Here is a 23,164-nt window from a genome sequence, read left to right as displayed (position 1 = left end):
GTGCTTAGCACAGTGCCTGGTACATAGTAGGTGCTCAATATACATATTTATAGTAATATTGAAATGGGGGAGTTCCCTTTCCCCCTCGCCAGGAGTGTGACAGGAGTGATGGACAGCAAGATGGATGGGGAGCCAGAAGCAGGGGATGGAGTGGGAAGGTCGTCTTTCTTGGGGGGCAGGTTGCCCAGACTTTTCTCTAACTGCCCCCCAACCGAACTCCCCTTGGTGCCTGTGTCATTCCACTGTTGCTGGTCTGTGGGTGTGTTCCCCGTTCCTCCTCTCCCCCTGACGCCCTTGTGTCTGCGTCCACTTAAGGTCTCGGGTTTATATGGCAACAGGATTGGGGGTGTGGTAGGCCAGAGGGGTCTTGGAAAATGCAACCCTTGAGTGTAAAAGTGGGAGTGCCTATTCTCGCTTGGGTCCATGGGCGCAGGACCAAGGGTGGAGCCCTTGCCAGGGACCCCGCTCTTCTCTACTCAGCACCTCCCTTGCTCTTTCCCGTATCAATGTTAGTTCTGCTTGGATATTGACTCTTTCCATTTACTCTATCATGTCTTCTTCAAATGTCTTCAAAACTTTTGGTCTCTTGCCTTTACCTTGTCAGTCACCTTTTGTTTGTCCAGACTTCTGTGGAATAGAGAAAAATATATGAAGGAAGGGCTTGTGGTATGGAATGCAATAATCAATTGGTACAGCTGATATGCTTCAAGAAATTAAGACAAGAACCTGATTGATCTGAAGAGAGAAAATTCAGGTTTAACTAGAGCATAAAAATATGTCATCGTGGTCTCAGATGAAAGCCAAAGAGAGAAAAAAGGGCAAAGTGTACATCAGACAATGAGAATTCTCTCCAGGAAAGACACATTTATGGAGTCTCATCTCATCAAAAACACTTTTCCTCTTAATTGGCTGAAAGCCACTCCTCAGCCTAAGAGAGCTCTAGCCTGGTCATCTGGGATGTCCTTTTGAGTATTTTCCTCTGGTTCCCATTTTCCTGCAATCTGGTATTGCTTCCATAGTTTTCTAATTCAGTGATAATGGAAACGATTCAGTCCCCCACTTTCTCTCCGGTACTGCTCAGCATGTGTGACTCCAGTTGCCATAGGATCTCAGTTCTGGTATTTTGGACTGTGGGTAACAGTTTCATAAAGCAATTTTTAAGAAAAATGAAAACTCATATAGCACTTATTGTGAGCCAGGCACTGCTCTATGCCCTTTATAGATATTAAGTCATTTAATTTTTAGAACAACCTAGTAGACAGGTACTATACTTTTTGCCATTTTGCAAACAAAGAAACTGAAGCATAGAGAGATTCAATAACTTGCCCAAGGTGATATGGCCAGTATTTGGCAAAGTGAGAATTTGACTCTACTTAGCCCGCATTTAGTGTCTAGCCTCTTAACCACCACTCTGTACTGCCTCTTACCTACCTCAGTGATATGCAGTATTATCTGATACTTTCCATTTGAGTCCATACTCCATACTTTTAATTTTAAAAATGGTATCTGGGTGTGATTCATGAAATGATCTCACCACTTTATAATGGGTACCAACACAAAGTTTAAAAATCATTGGGCAGGGGTGGGAGGAGAGAGGATTGGGAAGAATAGCTAATGGGTGCTGGTCTTAATACTTAGGTGATGATCTGTGCAGCAAACCACCATGGCACACATTTTAACTATGTAACAAACCTGCACATCCTGCACATGTACCCCTGAACTTAAAGTCGGGAAAAAACAAACAAACATTGGGTTAGACCCTCTCTGTTGTGAGATGGACACATCAGCCTGCCTTTGCCTGGTGCCTGAAACATTCCATTCATGTCTCTCCTTGTTCTGAGCCGTGCTCACCCAGCAAGTCACTGCTTAGGATTTGGCCTCCCGCTGAGGTCTGCCTGCAGGGAAATAATGTATTGGTTACGTGGACTTTTGAGTCTCCCCATGAATTAGAAAACCATCTCTCTGGTTTAGGCTGTGAGGCTAGATAATGTGAATCTGTCCCCAAGAAATGGGTTCTTGAGAAATGTAGTCACCGGATCAGACATCAGTGCCAGCGAGGCTGAGGACTGTGAGGACCTTGAAGATTTTTGTCAAGGTCCACCCTGTGACATCTTTTGTTGGATAGCTTGCAAGATTTCTTCCTGGGGTGGTGAATCCTAGCCCTGAGGACTGACTGTGGGAACATGATTTAAATGACTACAGCACTTAGCACTTTTTCCATAGCCAGAAATAGGGCTCAATACCCCTGTTTTTTCTCCCTGTCCTCATTTACTCACGTATCTTTCTACAGAAAAGAAAATGATGTTACTTTCCCACCTCAGCTTTATTATACTGCATGAATAAATGCAACACATCACCTCCAAATAATTGATTGAAATGCAATCCCTTTCCCTCTCGCTCCACCCAGTCTCTCTCCTAAGATGGTATCTAGTGGGGCCATGTCTTCATGCATTATGCATCTCTATGATTATGCAATAACTTCTCGAAGACTAGCAAGTGATACCTAAATTCTTCAAGCATGTTATTGATGCTAAATAATTAATTACATCTTTTATTTATAAAAATTTACTTGCTGGAAGTTCAGACATAAGTTCTGCCAACCCATCTTCTCTATTAGATTTCAACTTCCCGGCATGAAGTCTGAAAACTCACCTACAGATTTCAGTCTTTGAAAGCCCTTAGGCAGGCAGCCAGCATGAAGTTGGGCATTCCAGACAAGTGAGACTGGCTTTAAGCCAACAGATACCTGTACTGACCTCTTCCCACGGTCGTGGGGATACAGCTTGCCAAGGCCTTAAGTGCCTGGGGAAACCTATTTCCAACTTTAATGCATTAGTAACTGCTGTGTCCTAAATGATGAGCAGTTAGGGACTTTTTGTACCTGAGTAAATGTAATCAGGTGATTGGAGAAGTTGTTAAACCCTCCTAGTTTGTATGAGTGGGAGGATAATATAAGTAAAAAGAAATATGGGTAACCGTCTGGGGAACAGACTGCATGATCAAAACATTTTGTTTTGTCTTTTAAAACATATTTGGGAGAAATTGTAAACAGACAAAATAAATGTAACTATCATGGTCAACAAATACAATTATTGATGTAATCAAGAGATAACTTTTTTCAGCCAGGCGCCATGGCTCACACCTGTAATCCCAGCAATTTGGGAGGCTGAGGCAGGCGGATCTGTTGAGCTTAGAACTTTGAGACCAGCCTGGGCAACATGGAGAGACCCCATCTTTACTAAAAATAGAAAAATTATCCAGGTGTGGTGGTGCGTGCCTGTAGTCCCAGCTACTCAGGAGGCTGAAGTGGAAAGATGGCTTGAACCTGGGAGGGTTGCAGTGAGCCGAGATTGTGCCACTGCAACCCAGCGTGGGTCATAGAGCCAGACCTTGTCTCAACAGTGACAACAACAACAAAGAAGTTAGTGGCCGGGTGTGGTCATGCCTGTAATCTCAGCACTTTGGGAGACCAAGGCGGGGGGGATTGCTTGAGGCTAGGAGTTCAAGACTAGCCTGGGCAACATAGTGAGACCCTGTCTCTACATAAAAATTAAAAATTAGCCAGGCATGGTGGCACGTGCCTGTAGTCCCAGCTACTTGGGAGGCTGAGGTGGGAGGGTCGCTCAAGCCTGGGAGGTAGAAGTTGCGGTGAGCCCGTGATTGCACGACTGCACTCCAGCCTGGGTGGCATATCTAAAAAAAATTAAAAAATATATATATATAACTTTTTTCCTGTTGCCCTTTTATACTTTAATAGGCTGAAGTGCAGTGGCATAATCACAGTTCACTGCAGCCTTGACCTCCTGGGCTCAAGAGATCCTCCTGCCTCACCCTCCTGAGTAGCTGGGACTACAGGTATGAGCCACTATACCCCACTAATTTTTGTTTTTTATTTTTTGTAGATACGGGCATCTCACTGTGTTGCCCAGGCTGGTCTTGAATTCCTGACTTCAAGCAGTCCTCCCACCTCGGCCTCCCAAAGTGCTGGGATTGCAGGTGTGAGCCACTGAGCCTGGCTCAACTAATTTTTAGGAAATAGACTATCCTCCTGTCACTCTAAGTTACAAGCTCTGTCTCAATTCAGAAATTAGAATGACCAGCCCAAGCTGATAATCGAACCTTTGAACTTGATTTAATGTTTATCATCCCCTTTCTCATCTCAGGCCTGGATCCAACTGGGAGTCTCAGTGGAAAGGGCTGGGGGCTAGGTGGGAGCCTCTCTGTAGCTTCTCTCTGTCTACGCGTCTTTCTCTCCTTACACATTCTCAGTGTGCTAGCTAGTTTCTGAATCCCCAGGACTGGGTGGGTAATTGGGGAGTTAGGGATAAGGGAATTGGAAAGGTTGCTTTCCACTCCCTGAGCCTGGCCAGTGTTTGACATGTTGGACATTGTGGTGGGCTCTTCAGAGACCCGCATCATTGGTGAGCTCTCTCCTGTAATTGTCTGGACATATAAAGATGCATTGTTTTTTTGGAGACAGAATCTCACTGGAGTGCAGTGGCACAATCTCAGCTCACGGCAACCTCCACCTCTCAGGTTCAAGCGATTCTCATGCCTCAGCCACCTGAGTAGCTGGGATTACAGGCATGAGCCACCATGCCCAGCTAATTTTTGTATTTTTAGTAGAAACGGAGTTTTGCCATGTTGGCCAGGCTGGTCTTGAACTCCTGGCCTCAAGTGATCCACCCACCTCGGCCTCCCAAAGTGCTGGGATTACAGGTGTGAGGCACCATGCCCGGCCAGAAAGGTGCATCTTTATTTCAGGTGTTATCTGGGGATTTATTTATTCTAAGACCCCAGCAATCCTGTGCCCACCTCTAGTTTCTTGCTGCTGGGGTCTCTCTGCCTCTCCAGTAGGTGGCCCTGTGAGACAGGACCCGGTCAGACCTCACACCAGCTCTCTCTTCTGAGTGGCCACGTTTGGTCCCCAGGGCACACTCTACTCAGGAAAACCCAGAAAGGCAGACTAGCTCCTGCATGCCCCTCTAGCCTGCTGTCATGGCCCACTCTGGGTGTCACAGGCATGCCTCTGGGACCTGAATGTCTGCTGGTTCCAGCTGTAGTGAAACTACTTTAAAGCTCCCCAAGTGGTCCACACAAGCTGCCTGACTGGGCTTGGAATGAAGAAGATACAACTCTTGCCCATCTTTCTTTTTTTTTTTTTTTTGAGACGGACTCTCTTCTGTCATCCAGGCTGGAGTGCAGTGGTGCGATCTCGGCTCACTGCAAGCTCCACCTCCCGGTTTCACGCCATTTTCCTGCCTCAGCCTCCTGAGTCGCTGGGACTACAGGCATGCCCATCTTTCTTTGGGGGATTTTAAGGGGGACACTACAGCTCATTAACAGCTCCCCCAACAAAAGCTCTTCACCTATCTGCCCACTCCCCCCCCCCGCCCACTCTGACCCCTTTTCATATCCTTGATCTGGAGGAGGCATCCAAGAGTGACGGAGCCAGGTCTCAATAATTTCCTTTGTGAATTCTGTGTAAGGGGGTCTGTTTCACAGTCATGTAGGTATCTGATATCTATCATATTGGTGCCTCAATTAAAATGGAGGCAGAAAGAGCCCTATTCTAATATCTCATTCCATAAACAATAGAGACAAAGGCAAAAGTGTGTGTTTTAGTTCTCTATTGCTGCCTACCAGCCAGAAATGGAGTGGTTTAAAACAACATCGATAGACTATTTCTCATGATTCTTTGCTGGCTGGTCAGTTCCTCTGCTGGTCTCACCTGGGCTGGCTCATGCAGCTGCCGTCACTCACACAGCTGGTGGTTGGCACTGACTGTTGGTTGGGCGCCTTGGTTTTCTGTCTCATGGCTTCTCATTCCCTGGTAGGTGACAATGGTTTCCTTTCAGAACAAGCATGGCAGTGTTTCGAGGGACCAAAGTGCAAGCTCCAAGGCCTCTCAAGGCCCAGGCTCTGAAAGTCACACAGCATCACTTTCATACATTCTATTGACCAAACAAAACCACAAGACCAGCCTAGATATAAGAAGTGGGAAAAGAGGCTGGGCGCAGTGGTTCATGCCTGTAATCCCAGCACTTTGGGAGCTGAGGCGGGCAGATTGCTTGGGCCCAGGAGTTTGAGACCAGCCTAGGCAACATGGCAAAACTCTGTCTCTACGAAAAAAAAAAAAAAAAAAATTAGCTGGCACACGCCTGTAGTCCCAGCTACTTGGGAGGCTGAGGTGGGAGGATCACTTGGGCCTGGGGCCTAGAAGGCAGAGGCTGCAGTGAGCTGTGATTGCACCACTGCACTCCAGCCTGGGTGACAGAGCGAGACCCTGTCTCAAAAGAAAAAAAAAAAAAAGAATTGGGAAAAGAGACTCCACCTTAGTCTTAGTCTTTCACCCTCCCCTATAGTTTCTAACACAGAATTCTGCCTCTGTCAGTTCTGGTTCTAGACTTTTTCTGAGCAGATTTGGGGTAAAGGATTAGGGGAAGAATTAAAAGTTATCTCTACATTGGTTTACATTTTGCTTACATTTGGAAGGGTAGAAGGAAGAGAAAAGAAAGATTCAGAAGTTGAGAGGAGGGAGGAGAGAAAGTAGAGCCAACTGTGGCGGACCTTGGAAAAGCACTGCAGGGGATAGACCACACATTGGGAACTGGGAGTCCTTGGTTTAGAGAATAGGGTTCCAGGCCAGGCAGGTGCTTTCATTAATGAAGTTATCGGTAAGTCAATATGTCTGTCTGAGTTGGATGAATGATACCCTCCAAAGCTTATTGTGAAAATGAACTTCACTATAGATTGGATTCCCCCTTGGGGCCTGGCTAAAGCCACACTATGAGATGTTAGCCTGATACTGGCTCCATAATACCCAAACCCAGCCTGAGATCCTCCCCGTCCACCTGCCCCAGTGGACAAACCTTGCACTCCCATCCTTTCTCCCCTCTGACTTTTGTGCTCCTAGGGAAGGTGATCAACAGCAAGGCGAGGTGCTGGGTGCTGGCAAAACAACCTCGCCTTCAGGTTCCAGGTTTCTGGAAGAGGTGAATGACAGAAGAGGGAATCAAGTTGATTATTTCCTCCATGTCTCCGCTCTACTTTGGGCGCTACATTCAAAGCTCAGGTTTTTCATTTTAAAAATAATTGCTAAAGTCCTTAGGGGGTAGATGCTTTATGTGTGCTTATCTCGAGTTTAAGTTGAAAGGACCTGTGTTTCCCATCAGATGCCCCCAGCAGGAATGGCATTGGAGGCTGGTGATATTTGAAGGGCAGGTCAGATTGCTGAGACATGAAGTGGCTGGGCTGGTGTTGAGCCGACACAGGTGAGCAGGCTCAGGCTGCAGATTGTTGAAGCAGATAAGCAAGCGGTGGGGATGGAGAGGGGTCGGGACCTGCACTCGCCTTAGATTTTAAACACATCAAGTCCATGGAAGAATTTATTTTCTACTTTCAGAGAACAGATATATGCCTCTCTTTAAGAGAATATGCTGTGCTAAAAAAATTATCAAGTTTTCATCGTGGCTTTTCACGATCAGCATGGCTAAGCAGAAGCCTGTCCAGCTGCGTCTAACTCTACGTGCTTCCTAAATTACCCTGTAATCCTCTTGTCCTCTTCCAAGCCTTGGCCGATCTGAATCATAGTGCATTTCTTTCAGCACACACATGGCAATAGATACTTCAGAGCATCGTTGGGGTGAGTTTTGTGTGCGTGAATGCCTGTGCCCTGGCCTGGGCCACCACCGCACACAACCAGCAGGCGGAGTGTGGCTCTACCAGCCACGACCTCCCTCCAGGGCAGTGCGGGGAGGCCACCGGCAGGGGGTGCTGCACCCACACTGCTGGCACCAGTACGTGGGCATTACCAGGCTTCATAAATTGCTGGAAATTTAAAGCTGGAGGGGATGTTAGAAACCGTATCATCCACTGGTTTCCATTCGCTCGTGAGGAACCCATGATCCCGAGAGTTGAGTTTGTGGTGGAAATGGAGCTAAAATAGAGCCCTCTCCACTTCCAGGCCAGGACCTCCACCTTTCACATCCCCACTGCCTTCCCCTGGCATGACTACAAATGTCTTACCAGTGTTGAGAGGGAAATGATTTGCATGTAGAAGAATCAGCAAGGACAAGAACAGGTACTTAGTGCTATTTGCCTGGGAAATCGCAGATTGAGGCTTTTTGCATTTGGCCCCAAAGTCACAGTCAACCCGCAACTAGTAGGGGTAAGATTATTATTTTTTAGTGATTATATTTAAAAATAGCACACTTGGGGAAAAAATTACAGTTTGCTACAAATCATCAAAACATTTGCCCATCCTCTGAGAGGCCATATGTTGTAGTGTCAGTCCCCACCTCTGTTATTACTAGCTGGGTGATCTTGGCCAAATTTCTAAACTCCATTTTGCCTCATCTGTAAAATGGGGTTGGTGAAGATTAAATGAGATAAGACATAGGCAGTGCTTTTTAGGGTCACAGCGTATCCTAAGTACTCAACAAGTGCCAACTGTAATAATAATGGGAGCCATTTGGCATCTATAACTTGGAACTGCTATGTAGTTGTATCTACTACAGTGGAGAAATGTTCCCTCTCACCAGTTGGATATGTAGCTGTTGGGTGTAGCTTCTCTATGGTCTACCAGGATCCTCTCCAGAGACCATAGTTGTGGCCAGGAGTTGGCTAAGGTGAAGGAGTGAAGAGTAGGTATGGAAGGGTGGAAGGAATGGGTGAGTGGCTTTTAGTCTAAGCTGGCAAGTAAGAAAGAATTGAGAAAGAGAGGAAGTGTGCTGGGATGTGTTCTTCCCCAACTGGGGATCTTTCTTATAGGCAAAAAAATAAATAATCAAAAGCCATGAAACAGACAGTGATAACTTTTTTTTTAAACGGAGTCTCACTCTGTTGCCAGGCTGGAGTGCAGTGGCACGATCTCGGCTCACTGCAACGTCTGCCTCCTGGGTTCAAGCGATTTTCCTGCCTCAGTCTCCCGAGTAGCTGGGACCACAGACGCACGCCACCACACCCAGCTAATTTTGTATTTTTAGTAGCGACAGGGTTTCACCATGTTGGCCAGGATGGTCAGTCTCCGTCTCTTGACCTCGTGATCCGCCCGCCTAGGCCTCCCAAAGTGCTGGGACTACAGGCATGAGCCACTGGGCCCGGCCGTGATAACTTTTTTTCAGGTAGAAATCTTTTGGTTCTTTTTTTATCAAGTATTTTGTGTGATGCTTACAGAATACATTTATTAAGTATTTTGTACAGCTCTTATTTTTTGTTGTTGTTTTACAATTTGGGTGATGCGTGCAAAAAGTAGATATAGTTCTAGATAGTGGATTTTTTTTTTTTTAGCTAATTAGATTGACCTCAGGTCCAATCTGTAAAGTGTTTCAAATACTTAAGTTTTGTTTAGATTTCTTTAATCTTATCCATGACCTTTTTTGCCCCCCAGCCTTCCTACCTCATTGTGCCATTGATAGCAACTTGACTTTGGTTTCTTCTCTTTTCAGAGTTTGATCCAGTGGTTGTAAAATGCTTTCAGATCACGACATGAAACTCTGCCTTAATAGAAAGGCACAATATAAATCAGAGATGGCCAGAAAGGCAAGCATGAAAATAGTATCCCTGATTTTTTTCCAGTAGCACATGATATAACATTGAATAATTGCTGGGTATATTTGACAAATTGGGATACAGTTCATTAGGGAGCTGGGGAACTTAAAAATCAGGCTGTCTTCAGGAAAATTTATGAGGGGATTACAGTGTGCAGCCACCAGAAAATGGGGCAGCAGGAACCTTGGCTGAATTGATGATCTGCCTGAGTGGGAGCTGCATCCATTGAGCAAAACTTTCTTTAGTCAAAGTGACTTAGAGGGAAAATTGTGATAAATAGAATGAATGAAAAAAATTAACATCCAGAATATCTAGAGAATGGAATTAAATCCACAAGTGCAATACTATTTCTACTGCATTAACAGTCAAAAAAAAATCTGAACATGTTCACACAAGAGGCATTACAACTAGAAAACAAATCCTTGGAAGAGGACTCAGCCTCCTTAGTAATTATAAGAAGTTAAAACACAAAACCATGCAATGCCGTTAAACTGGCAAATTATAATTACAAAATCAAAGTCTGGCAAGGCTTTTGAGAAAGTTATACCCTCATACAAACATAAATTAGTACAATATTTCTGGAAAGCAACATGGCGAAGTGTAGTAAACCATGGAACATCATATCCTTTGAGCTAGTATATGTTTGAGACTACATCCTGGAGAAACAAAGAAAGAAAAATAGGAAAAAAAACCCTAAAAATTATTTTAAAAAATTAAAAACAAACTATGGTCTGGCACGGTGGCTTACACCTGTAATCCCAACACTTTGAAAGGCTGAGGTGGGAGGATCACTTGAGCCCAAGAGTTCGAGACTAGCCTGGGCAACATGGCAAGACCCCGTGTCTACAAAATTTTTTTAAAAAATTAGCTGGGCATGGTGGCATGCATCTGTAGTTCCAGCTACTCAGGAGGTTAAGGTGGGAAGATCTCTTGAGCCCAGAAGGTCGAGGCCACAGTGAGTTGAGGGCATCACTGCACTCCAGCCTGGGCAACAGAGCAAGACCCTGTCTCAGAAAAAAAGAAACCCCAAAAGTATGTTGTAAAATGAAATATAATATTACTATTAAGAATGATTTTTTTTTTTTGAGGCAAAGTCTCACTCTTGTCCCCCAGACTGGAGTGCAATGGCGCGATCTGGGCTCACTGCAACCTCTGCCTCCTGGGTTCAAGTGATTCTCCTGCCTCAGCCTCCTGAGTAGCTGGGATTACAGGCAGCTGCCACCACGCCTGGCTAATTTTTGTATTTTTAGTAGAGACAGGTTTCACCATGTTGGCCAGGCTGGTCTCGAACTCCTGACCTCGGCTGATCCACCTGCCTCAGCCTCTCAAAGTGCTGGGATTACAGATGTGAGCCACTGCGCCTGGCTGAGAATAATGGTTTTTTTTTTGTTTTGTTTTGTTTTTTCTTAGACAGGGTCTTGCTCTGTCACCCAGGCTGGATGCAGTGACACAATCTTGTCTCACTGCAACTCCTGCCTCCTGGGCTCAAGTGATCGTCCCACCTCAGCCTCCAGAGTAGCTGGGACTACAGGCACATGCCACCACACCCTGCTAATTTTTTAATACTTTTTGTAGAGATGGTGTTTCGCTATGTTGCCCAGGCTGGTCTCGAACTCCTGGGATCAAGTGATCTGCCCACCTTGGTCTCCTAAAGTGCTGGAATTGCAGGCCTGAGCCACTGTGCGTGGCCAAGAATAATAAATTTGTGTGTTATAAAAACAAATAGAAAGGCTGATATAAAATACAGTAAGTCCTCACTTAACATCATTGACAAGTTCTTGGAAACTGTGACTTTAAGTGAAACGATGGATAATGAAACCAGTTTAACCACGGGCTAATTGATATGAATACAGAACTAAATTCCTACGACATATTTCTAGTCAAGGAAACATCACCACATTTCTAGATTAAGACCCAAAACACTTCTATTAAAAATGGAAATAACTGTGAGCTATACATGCATTTCGGTAATAAAAACAAGTAAGATAATTTTTTACCCAGTCTTTGGTGAATCGGTGAGTGACAGCAGTCATGTGGTGGGTAAGTCAAGGAATAAGTGTTTGCAATGAGAAAATTGTCAGGAGCCCCCCCTTCCACCATGCAGTTGAAAAACGAGCAGTAACGAATGTGGCGGCTCCTTGAGCGCTTTCGCACTGCGTCGTTTATTGTCGTGTATCTGTAGGATTATTCACTACTTTACAAATTTTTATTTTACTGTAATTTGTATCCATTTATTACCCAACCCGCTTATTGCACTTCAGGGTGGGAGGTAGCCAGAGCCTATCCCCAGCAACTCAAGGCACAAGGTGGTACCCAACCTTGGACAGGACACCATCCCACCATAGGGCCCACACATTCACACACACACAGTCATTCAGATCTGGACCGTGTAGACACGCCAATCAACCTAATGTACAACACACATCTTTGGGATGTGGGAGGAAACCAGAGTACCCAGAGAAAACCCATACAGACATGGGGAGAACTTGCAAACCGCACAGACAGTGGCCTCGGCTGGGAATCAATTTTCAAAAATCTCATCAACATTGTAACAAAACCATGTTGATCAAAATGACACTTTTTTGAGGACCTGCTATAATGCTAAATGAAAAATTGTTGAGCTCAGGCTGGGCGTGGTGGCTCACACCTGTAATCCCAGCACTTTGGGAGGCTGAGGTGGGCAGATTGCCTGAGCTCAGGAGTTCGAGACCAGCCTGGGCAACATGATGAAACCCCATCTCTACTAAAAAAAGTACAAAAAATTAGCTGGGCATGGTGGCACACACCTGTAATCCCAGCACTCTGGGAGGCTGAGGCACAAGAATTGCTTGAGCCCGGGAGGCAGAGGTTGCAGTGAGCCGAGAACGTGCCACTGCACTCCAGCCTGGGCAATAAAGTGAGACCCTGTCTCAAAAAAAAAAAAAAAATTGAGCTCAACTTTATAAATATTGACTATAGGCTTGTTTTAAAAAAAAAGCCCAAGCAACAATACAGCTAAAAAGAGATAATTTGTTACATGGCAGGATGAGAAGTTAATTTGATTTTTCTGTTGCTTTGATGTTTTGTATTTATCTCTCATTACAAAATTGGTTAAAAGCACAATTTTAAAGACTGCAATATATATTGTTAAACATCAAGGACAGAAAAAAGGTAAACCCTTACATCTCCTTTATGTGGTTTCTCACAGCTGTGCAGATCTGAAACACAAGCTAGAATAGCACAAAAACTGCATCTCGGAGCTGCACAAATTTCCTCGATTATACGTAGAGGAAAAGTGTGATTACCAAGAGCTTTGAGTGGATGTCGGAGAAAGTCATGTTGGGTTAACTGTCTGGTTGGCTCATCCGATGACAGAGCTTTACCTACTTGGATCTGATGCTGGGATTGTTTTGTTTGGTTTGGGTTTCTTTGGAAGTGAGGGAGGCCAGTATGGGATACAGGAAAGAGGGAAAGCATTGACTCCTTTCCACTAGTAAGCATTTGCCTCCTTCATCAAGCCAGTGCCACATTTCTGCATCCTTCGGCTTCCTTCTTCTGGTCTGATCCTTCTTGCCCCATAAGCTTGGCATTCTCTGATGGTTATTTTTGCTGTGTTATCTACCTCTAACAGCAACAGTAATCTTAATAAAATATAGTCTCACATTTCCTCCAAGTAGCTAGACGTTCTTAAGGCTTTAGACACAGCCTTCATTGTATGTAATAGTGGCCATTTTTCTTTTTGTCCTTGCACCTGTGTAAGCAGGGCACTAAATCTTGTAGGTCTCACCCTGATTTGCCTCTTTGCAGCAGCAAGGACACCTGAGTCTCTGTACTTTGACATAGATTTCTGCTTACATCGGGCAGTTCTGAGTCAGAGGGTGGTGGGCCTGAGTCACCACCATCTGCTTTCATCAACCATGTTCCCGAGACCCAGAGTGGGGAGATTCCCATGGCCCCATTCAGGCACGTACAGAGGCTTCATGAGCATGTGCTTCCCTAGCAGAGGCGAGAATGGCGCAGGGACCCTTGTGAATTTTTACTGGAGAAATTGTTACGGAATTCTCAGGCTCTTGTTTCCAAATTCTTTCTTCCCTCTCTTCTCTTTCCCATATTTTTCTTTTTCCCCCTCCACACATTAGAAGGCTTCAAGATAATAAGGTAATATTTATTGGGGACATGATGTGTATCAGGCACACTTATGCATATTAACCTATTTAATCTTCACAACCACCCTATGAGGTAGGTGGGCACAGCTATTATCCTCATTTTACAGCCAATGAAATAGGCAGAGAGGGTAACTTCTCCAAGCTCACTACATGGGAGAAGCAAGCTTCACACCCAAGCAGTTGGCCCAGAGTGCAGGCTGTGGGCCACTGTGCTCTGTGCATCGTAACAGGGCACCAGAGCTAGCTTGCCTGTGCTCTGGGGAGGGGGCTGATGTGAAAGAGACCAAAGCTAGAGTGAAGAGTGAGGTGTGGGAGTGCATGCTGGTGGTGTGTGGGGCGTGTGCGTGGAGAGCCTGACCTGTTTTCCTGTCGTCCTGTCATTTACTCTGTGAGTACGCCCAGTTACTTAACCTCTTTGCTTCTCAGTTCCCTAGTTCATAAAATTCCAGGAATATGAATAGCGCTTAACCCCTCATAGGGTTGTTGTGATGATTAACTGTGTTAATAAAGTCCCTAGGACAGTGGCTGGTCCATGAATGTTAGCCATTATCATCAGCATCATCATTAATTTGGGAACCACTCCACCTCCTCTTTCTACTAGACTGGTAGTGACAAAAATAACATTTCTAGCAAGTTCCAGGTGGTGCCAATGCTTCCTGCCTGGGAATCACACTTTGAGAACCACTGAGGTGGAGGATCTGGAAGTTCTTCCTTTCTTAGCACCCCACATTCCGTTTCTTTCCCTGAGCTCTGTCCCTGGGTTATTTTCACTTTCTGTCTTTAGTACCCAGAGTGGCCAGCTTGCATGGCTATCAATAACCAGTGAAAGGAGCTTCCCCAGAACCTCTCATTGACTCCTTTCAATGAATACTGTAATTTGTATTCATTTATTACCCAACCCGCTTATTCTACCTCAGGGTGGGAGGTAGCCGGAGCCTGTCCCCAGCAACTCAAGGCACAAGGTGGTAACCAACCTTGGACAGGACGCCTGCTTTCAGCAGGATCTGATGTGATGGGTAGGCCTGTTTCCACGAGAGGGAGATGCAAGCAAGTGAAAAGACAGAAGTTAGCAAGTGTTGAATGCGTAGTATGCACAGAAACACACCTGAGTGAGTGCATCCATGAATAAAGACAGCAGATGATTTTGAAAGTAATAGGAGGCCAGGCGTGGTGGCTCGTGCCTGTAATCCAAGCACTTTGGGAGGCCAAGGTAGGCGGATCACTTGAGGTCGGGAGTTCGAGACAGGTTTGGCCTACTTGGTGAAACCCTGTCTAAAAACATACAAAAATTAGCCAGACGAGTAGCTGTAGTCTGAGCTACTCGGGAGGCTGAGGCAGGAGAATCGCTTGAACTCGGGAGGCAGAGGTTGCAGTGAGCTGAGATCACACCACTGCACTCCAGCCTGGGTGACAGAGCAAGACTCCGTCTCAAAAAAGAAAAAAAAATGTAATAGAAAAGTAGAGAAAAGAATCTTCCTCCCTGAAAGATAATGACCTTTGAGCAAAGATGGAGGTAATGGAGGAAAGTGGGGAGAAGAGAGAAAGGGGCCCTAATTGTCACATTCATGGTTGGAATTGTGAGGTTGTAAGAAGCAAAGGCAGCAGGCACCCTGATCTTAATCAGACAGATGACAGCTTGCCTTTCACAAAGTAAAAGGTAATAGTGTATAAATGAGAGAAAAGTAGGAGTTCCAGTCACTTTACTACCTCTGGGGACGGAAGGGAATGGGGAGCAGGTCTGGGGTTCAGTATTTGTGTGACTGCTGACTTCAGAGGTCTGAATTCTCTGCAGCTCACTTGCTGCCTCAGTGGGTGGGGTGTGATGGGACTTCCCATCCAGGGCCCTAAACTCTAGAATCCATCCTCATAAGAACTGCGCTGCCTCTGAGCACCTGGGCAAGCTCTGTGTGGGATGCAGATACTCTGCGAAATAAGGGTTCTGCTTCTTTTAGGCTGCAAGAGCAGAACTGGGATGTGAATTCCAGCCCAGGGCATTTTGCACCCTGGATCTGGTTTATGCTCTTACTTGCTGCAACTATGATGGTGGCTGTTTCCCCGGGGTCTCCCAGCCCAAGTCTGGTCCTGGAGTGGCTCACAGCAAGTCTCATTGCCCCGAGGCAGGAAGGCTGCAGAGAAAGTTACCCTTGGAGTAGGGAGAGAGGAGAGGAAGCCAGTGCTCTCTTCAAGTGGTCTGCTCTGTGTTCACAGGCCCGATGGGCTCCCCAAGGCTGTCCTAGCCAGGCTGGATCTGTGCCAGGCCTTGACCCAGCAGCTGTGTTCCGTACCTTGGATTCCTGACAAAAGCAAAATAATTGCTGCTTCCAGCTACAACCAGCTGGCTACCAGGAGAAGTCACCAGGGAGAGTTCTGCTGTATCCTCTCTGCCCCTACCCCCAGCTTTCCGTTCTCAAGAATGACACTTTGTTGTTCCTTTGTATGTCAGTCCCAGATTGGAAATGAAAAAAGGAATTGAAAAAAACTAAAATATCATAATGGGGTGGTACATTTCCGAATGGTTGTTGATGGGTCTGGGGGTTTCCTGTGTACCCCAAGCAGGAAGTTTCGACTTGTTTTGAGACTGTCAGCTCTTGATTGGAGACTTCCCTGGAAGAAGCAGTCGTTCAAGAGAGTGAGCTCTTTGTGTTTATAGAAGACGAAAAAATACAGCTGGGCGCTGTGGCTCACGCCTGTAATCCCAGCACTTTGGGAGGCCGAGGCAAGCGGATTACGAGGTCAGGAGACCGAGACCATCTTGGCTAACATGGTGAAACCCCGTCTCTACTAAAATACAAAAAATTAGCCGGGCGTGGTGGTGGGTGCCTGTAGTCCCAGCTACTCGGGAGGCTGAGGCAGGAGAATGGTGTGAACCCGGGAGGCAGAGCATGCAGTGAGCCAAGATCCCGCCACTGCACTCCAGCCTGGGCAACAGAGTGAGACTCCTTCTAAAAAAAAAAAAAAAAAAAGAAGGGAAAAAAATACATATATTTTCCTTTGGGAGGCCAAGGTGGGCGGATCATGATGTCAGGAGATCAAGACCATCTTGGCTAACACGGTGAAACCCCGTTTCTACTAAAAATACAAAAAATTAGCCAGGCATAGTGGCATGCGCCTGTAATCCCAGCTACCTGGGAGGCTGAGGCAGGAGAATTGCTTGAACCCGGGAAGCGGAGGTTGCAGGGAGCCAAGATCGTGCCACTGGACTCCAGCTGGGTGACAGAGCGAGACTCTGCCTCAAAAAATATATATATTATACATTTATATATAGTATATATAACTATATATATAAATGTATAATATATTATATGTTTTTAAATATTATATATAATATAATATATGTATTATATAAAAATATATAATACATATATTTTCCCCCTTATTCTCCTAGGTTCCTCAGCTGGGGTCCTGTAAATTAGATTGACAAAAGACAGATTAGCAAGAGAAACATAAACAAGTTTATTAACATGCACATCACAAATACACATGGGGGCACTCAGAGATGAGTAACTCAAAGGGATGGTTACACCTTGGCTTATATAGCATCTTAAAAGAATAGTAAAGTTTTAGAGAGATGACAAAGACAAAGGAAAAGGACTTTGAGTTTCTAAGGCAGCAAGTTGTGGGAAGGTAAATAGTGGGGGAGCTAATGGAAGATAAGTGCTAATTGGGAAGGTTGGTTGTATAGACTCCTCTGGTGCCCTCTCCGGGCTGGTAAGGGTCTAGAGTTATCTCTGGTGATTCACTTCTGTCCTTCCTGGTAGAGAGGGGAGGAGAGACACATTTACAGATTTATGTTCTGCTTTTAGGTAAATAGGGGGAGGGCAGAGAGCTCTTTTGTATCTGCTGCTGTGTAATTGCCTTCAGCTCAAAATAATCTTTATCCTAAAAAGGCATATTTTGGAGTAGCATGTTCTGCTCCCTTCATGTTCAAGAAGATATGTTTAAAATTCTTTCTCTTAAACATATCTCTTTCCCCCCTTCCGTCAATTCAAAAAATATTTACTATTCCACTGACAAACTTGTATTTGGTTAGACCTATGGGATGCAGAGCTGTGTGCTGGGAGATGCCGGGGGGAGGGTGAAATCCAGAGCTGAGTGCTGCTCTCAGGAAGCTTATAGTTGAGCTTATCAGTCAAGGTGTAAACACAAGAAAGCATCGCTGACTATAATCCTCACCAGCCCAACCTCTAGCTCCAGGCCAGCCTCCCTCCTCCTCCAGAAGTCCTTGGCCCTCCTCACCACCATAGGTACAGCCCCTCCTTCCTTCTGGGGAAACCCTTCCCGACCCTTCCATCCCAAAATGAATCGTCTGCCTTCTCAGCAACCTACTTGTCTTCACGGACTTTGTAGTTTACCACAAACCCTTGGAATGCCTCTTGGTGACTTGGAGTCTTTAATTTTGGTGTTGCCATTTCAGCTTTTGGAGGCTCAAAGAAGACTTCTTCAACTTGTGAGGTGGATTGGTGAGGTTGGCCACACACAGAACTTCTGTTCTTTCTCCAAACACTTCTATACCTTTCTCCCTCTCCTCTGCCTGGAAAATTCCCATTCCTTTTTAAAAATCGAGGTCAGAAATCACATCTTCTTTGCAGCCCTCCAGACTCCTTCAGAGAGACAAAGTCACCACAGCCTGTAGCCCTTCATTCTCCTATAATTGGCTGGTGGGTTCTTCCTGCCCACTGCACAGACAAAATCAATCCACTGAGACAACGGCATTGCAGTAGAGAAAGAGTTTAATTGACATGAGCGTAGCCCACATGGGAGAATCAGAATTGTCATTCACATTGGTCTCCCTGAAGGCTTGGAGATTAGGGTTTTTATGGGCAATTTGGTGAGCAGTGGTCGGGGGCTAGGGAATGGGTGCTGCTGTTGGTTAAGGATGAAATCACAGGGGAGTGGAAAATGGTCCTTTTGCACTGAGTCTGCCTCTGGGTGGGGCCACAGGATCAGTTGAGTCATGAGTAGCGAGTCTGAATGGGGTTAGTCTGAAAGATATTTCAAAAAACCAATCTTAGGTTCTACAATAGTGATGTTATCTATAGGAGCAATTGGGGAAGTCAGCAATCTTGTGACCTCTGGCCACATGACTCCTGAGCAGTAAGGGATTGTAGAAACTATGCCTATCTTATCAGAATTGAGGCCCCTCTCATAATCCTAACCTTGTGACCTTTCACTAGTTTTACAAAGGCAATTTAGTTTTGGGAAGGGCTATTATCATCTTTGCTTTAAGGTAAAACTAGAAACTAAATTCCTCCCAAACTTAGCTTGGCCTACACGTAGCCAGGAATGACCAAGGGTAGCTTGGAGGTCAGAAGCAAGATGGAATCAGCTATGTCAGAATTCTCTTACTGTCATAACTTTGCAAAGGCAGTTTCACTCCTTTATGACATCTTTATTTTTATTTTTAAATTATTTATTATTATTATTTTTAGAGACAGGGTTTCACTCTGTCACCCAGGCTAACCTATAGACTAACTTAAGACAGGAAAAACATACAGAGGAGACAAGAGCTGGTCTTGCTCATTAAAAGGCTCAAGACTAGAGGTGGGGCATGGTGGCTCATGCCTGTAATCCCAACACTTTGGGAGGGCCGAGGCGGGCAGATCACTTGAGGTCAGGAGTTCCAGACCAGCCTGGCCAACATGGTGAAACCCCGTCTCTACTAATAATACAAAAATTAGCTGGGTGTGATGGTGCGTACCTGTAATCCCAGCTACTCGGTAGGCTGAGGCATGAGAATCGCTTGAATCCAAGAGGAGGAGGTTGCAGTGAACCGAGATCGCGGTCACTGCACTCCAGTCTGGGCGACAGAGTGAGACACTGTCTCAAAAAACAAAAATGAAACAAAAAGTCTCAAGGCCAGAAAGGGGAGACCAAGAGAAGCTAGACTTTCCTAGAGTCAAGGAAACCAGTTGTAAGGGATTTACCTATGAAGTCAGAACAGTTTTGACTGCCTGTCAATGGGGGTGTCCAAGGAGAAAGACCATTGCTTCTGAAAAGACTAAAAGAGAACCAAAGCATGGAGCAGCAGCTGTCTCTGGGAGACAAAAGGAAGAATCTTCACGGAGGCTGGGACTGATGGATGGACCATAACCTCTGATTTGGTGATACAACTCCAGGAGTGGGACCTGTATACTCATAGAGGGTGAGGATGAGTGTGTTTCTGAATGTTTGAAATATGTTTAACTCCACAAGGGTAGACCAGGGTACACACCTTTAAGGAGCATACATACTCTTAGTATAGTGTTCTATGCAGATGGCATCCCTTAGTGACCTTTTCCAGAGACAATGCAGGTGGTGCAGTTGTACAGGACCAAGGCCTTGTCCACTGCATATCATTGTTACACCCGAATCCCCTTACATCCTAAAGTCAAGTTTAGGGTTTCATTTGAACCTGAGTGGAGGAGAAATGAATTCAGAATCTGATGGGGAAACCTCTCCTTACTTAGATATGAACCCAGGAACCTCAAGATGTGAGATGGGGTGGACTTTTCTGTAGCACACCTCTATATTATCCTGTCATGATTATTTAAAAAAGAAGCTTCATTCCATTAGAGCTGGAACAGCCCCCACTCTGCAGGATGAGCTTGGGCAGCAATTGACAGGTGCCCTTCAGAACTTAGAAAATGTAGAGGAGAAAGGAGATGTGTCTCCTTTTCTTGACCAATTAGGACAGCTTTGTGACAGCTCCAGGGGAAAGGAACAGGACGAAGAGGGCTGTGTATGAGATGGGAGCATGCCAAGAAGCATAGGCTTTATCCAGTCCAGCGCGTCTCACACTGCACACTGTGGCCTCACAGGGGGTGTAGAACACTTCAGTTTGGATCGTGACCAACATTTAAAGCATAATAAAATAGAAAGTGTCAGTGCATTGAGTTTAGTAAGAATTAAATATTGTTTATGAAAATTGTATATCAGTCATATTTGTGTGTGTTCTAGATTGCAACGTGTATTATATTACTTAGTGCAGGTCTCTATTTAAAAAAAAAAAAACAGCTGCTTTCTTAACAAGCAGAGTGAAAATAACTAGTCTTTTAATCTCAGTGTCCGGCAAACTCAAGTTTGCCCAGTTGATAAAGTCCCGATTAACCTTGCTGTAAAAATCCAAGGTAATTGTTTTTTTTTTTTTTTTTTGAGACAGAGTTTCGCTGTTGTTGCCCAGGCTGGAGTGCAATGGCACAATCATGGCTCACCACAACCTCCATCTCCCGGGTTCAAGCGATTCTCCTGCCTCAGCCTCCCGAGTAGCTGGGATTACAGGCACGAGCCACCACGCCCGGCTAATTTTGTATTTTTAGTAGAGATGGGGTTTCTCCATGTTGGTCAGGCTGTCTCGAACTCCTGACCTCAGGTGATCTGCCTGCTTTGGCCTCCCAAAGTGCTGGGATTACAGGTGTGAGCCACCATGCCTGACCCAAGGTTATTGTTTAGGAACAAACATGGTGGGAGCAAAAAGTTGTTGGGTGTTCCTCTGTTTAAGAGCCTTCTGGAAGGATGAAGTCTCCACTGGGCTGACACAGAGCCTCTGCGGCCTCTGAGGCCTGTCAGTGGAGACCCTTCAGGCGGTTTTTCCTCACTTAGGTTCCATGACTCACCTTGTCAGTTGAAATCCTGCTTCCTATGGGATTGGGCCAAAATCAAATGCATCTTTCCCAGAGCTTTCTTTTCTTTTTTCTTTTTTTTTCTTTTTTTGAAACAGAGTTCACTCCCATCACCCAGGCTGCAGTGCAGTGGCATGGTCTCGGCTCACTGCAACCTCTGCCTCCCAGGTTTAAGTGATCTTCCCACCTCAGCCTTCTGGGTAGCTGGGACTACAGGCACATACCACCAGGCCCAGCTAATTTTTGTATTTTTTGTAGAGGTAGGGTTTCATCATGTTGCCCAGGCTAGCCTCGAACTCCTGGTCTCAAATGATCTGCCCACCTCAGCTTCCCAGAGTGCTAGGATTACAGGCATGAGCCACCACGCCCGGTCCAGGCTTTATTTTCTAAAGGAATCACGTTTTAGAATGTCCATGGGTGAGCTAATGCTGTGACAGTAACATATGGAAGAAAAAGTACACTCATGCTACCCATAGCTGTCATTTTTGTTTGTTTGGTGAGACAAGTGGAAGGTGCTGGTATAGTACTGTGAGTGGTTGATAGTGAAATGAAAATAAAACTCAAGTATGGCTTTTACCCTCTGAAAGTTAGCGTGGACGGTGGTGACAGAGTGATAGCTTTCTTTGGGCTTGAACTGAATTCACATTCAAAGTTTGATTATCACCATCAGGAGCCTGTACCCATGAGCCCCATTAGCCCTTAGGAAAGCCTAACACCATCTAGATTTCACATCAGCTGGAAAGGTTTATTTCTGAAGTTCAGGGGAGTTATTTATTAAAGCAACAAAATATTCCGAGGATATAGATTATGGGAAAACTCCTTACTCTGGAACTATTCTGACTTGGTTTTTCTTTTTTGTTGTATTTGGCCTTCAGAAAACCCTTCCTGAATTCTTCCTGGTTATCATCCAGGTTGATAACCTTGTTGGTCTTTAAGTGTGCAATTTGAAATATAATCAACATATGTCTACCATTTTCTTTGCATGGGAGAGAGTGAAAATTGTTTCTTATTAATAGTTACCTTTATTATGTTCATTAGGAAAAACAAAATGCCATGTTCCATTTGCTCTCAGAGGCAGTGGAGGACAGGCCCTGGGGCCTAAATGTCTAGGTTCGTATCTTCCTGCTGCCACTAGCAAGCCCCACTGCTCACAGGCACAACGACAGCAGTTTTCAGGGTATCTATCACCTGTCTACCACTTACCAAGCACTTGACATTTCTCATCTTTAGTCCTAAAAACAGTTCTTCCAGCTTTGTTTTGTTCTTCCCATTTTTCAGATGAGGAAACAGACTCAGAAAGCATTAGGGAAGAGCTAATCACGGCCACCATGTATATCTTTTTATATTATTCTTTTAATTTGATATTGCCTTTCCCACTTACTCTAGGGCCTACTTATTTGTGGGCAGGAAGAGGAGGTATGCATGTATTTAAGTTTAATCAGTTTGGTATTAGAAAGTCTGTACAAAGCAAGGTCTGTTTTATTTATTTATTTTTTCTAAAGATGGGGGTCTCACCATGTTGCCCAGGCTGGTCTCAAACTCCTGGGCTCCAGCAATCCTCCTGCCTCAGCCTCCCAAATTGCTGGGATTACAGGTGTGAGCCACCATGCCTGGCCTAAAGCAAGGTTTAGCCCGTACTTTCTCATGCTGGCCATCTATGTTCTGGTTCTAACGTTTGTGTGGTTGGTGTTAATGTTAGACCTAAAAAGAGAAAGATGAAATTCGGTATTTGTTATCAACTGTCAAAGACACTTGTTTTCCCCAGACTTTTATTATGTACATTTTCAAACATACAGAATTTTAAAGAATAATACAGTAAACACCCATATATCTACCACTAGATTCAATAATTATTAACATTTGCCATAT

The 23,164-nt window shown here is 45.0% G+C and overlaps 1 protein-coding gene across 2 annotated transcripts in view, besides 1 other annotated feature; it reads left to right on the top strand.

Moving 5' to 3' along the window:
• SCD5 (stearoyl-CoA desaturase 5) overlaps positions 1-23,164 on the top strand; it is a 169,258-nt gene that overhangs the window by 51,551 nt on the left and 94,543 nt on the right. The window lies entirely within an intron of this gene.
• Positions 7,640-7,729: a silencer, noted in NCBI's record as "silent region_15533". NCBI's record gives its function as "represses an Ori minimal core promoter by ATAC-STARR-seq in GM12878 lymphoblastoid cells {active_cell/tissue: GM12878}" and the evidence as "EXISTENCE:reporter gene assay evidence [ECO:0000049][PMID:35858748]".

The sequence above is a fragment of the Homo sapiens genome, chromosome 4 (genome assembly GCF_000001405.40).
Source record: "Homo sapiens chromosome 4, GRCh38.p14 Primary Assembly".
Taxonomy (NCBI): Eukaryota; Metazoa; Chordata; class Mammalia; order Primates; family Hominidae; genus Homo; species Homo sapiens.
The sequence above is the reverse complement of the archived record's forward strand: the minus strand, read 5'-3'. Positions and strand labels throughout refer to the sequence as shown.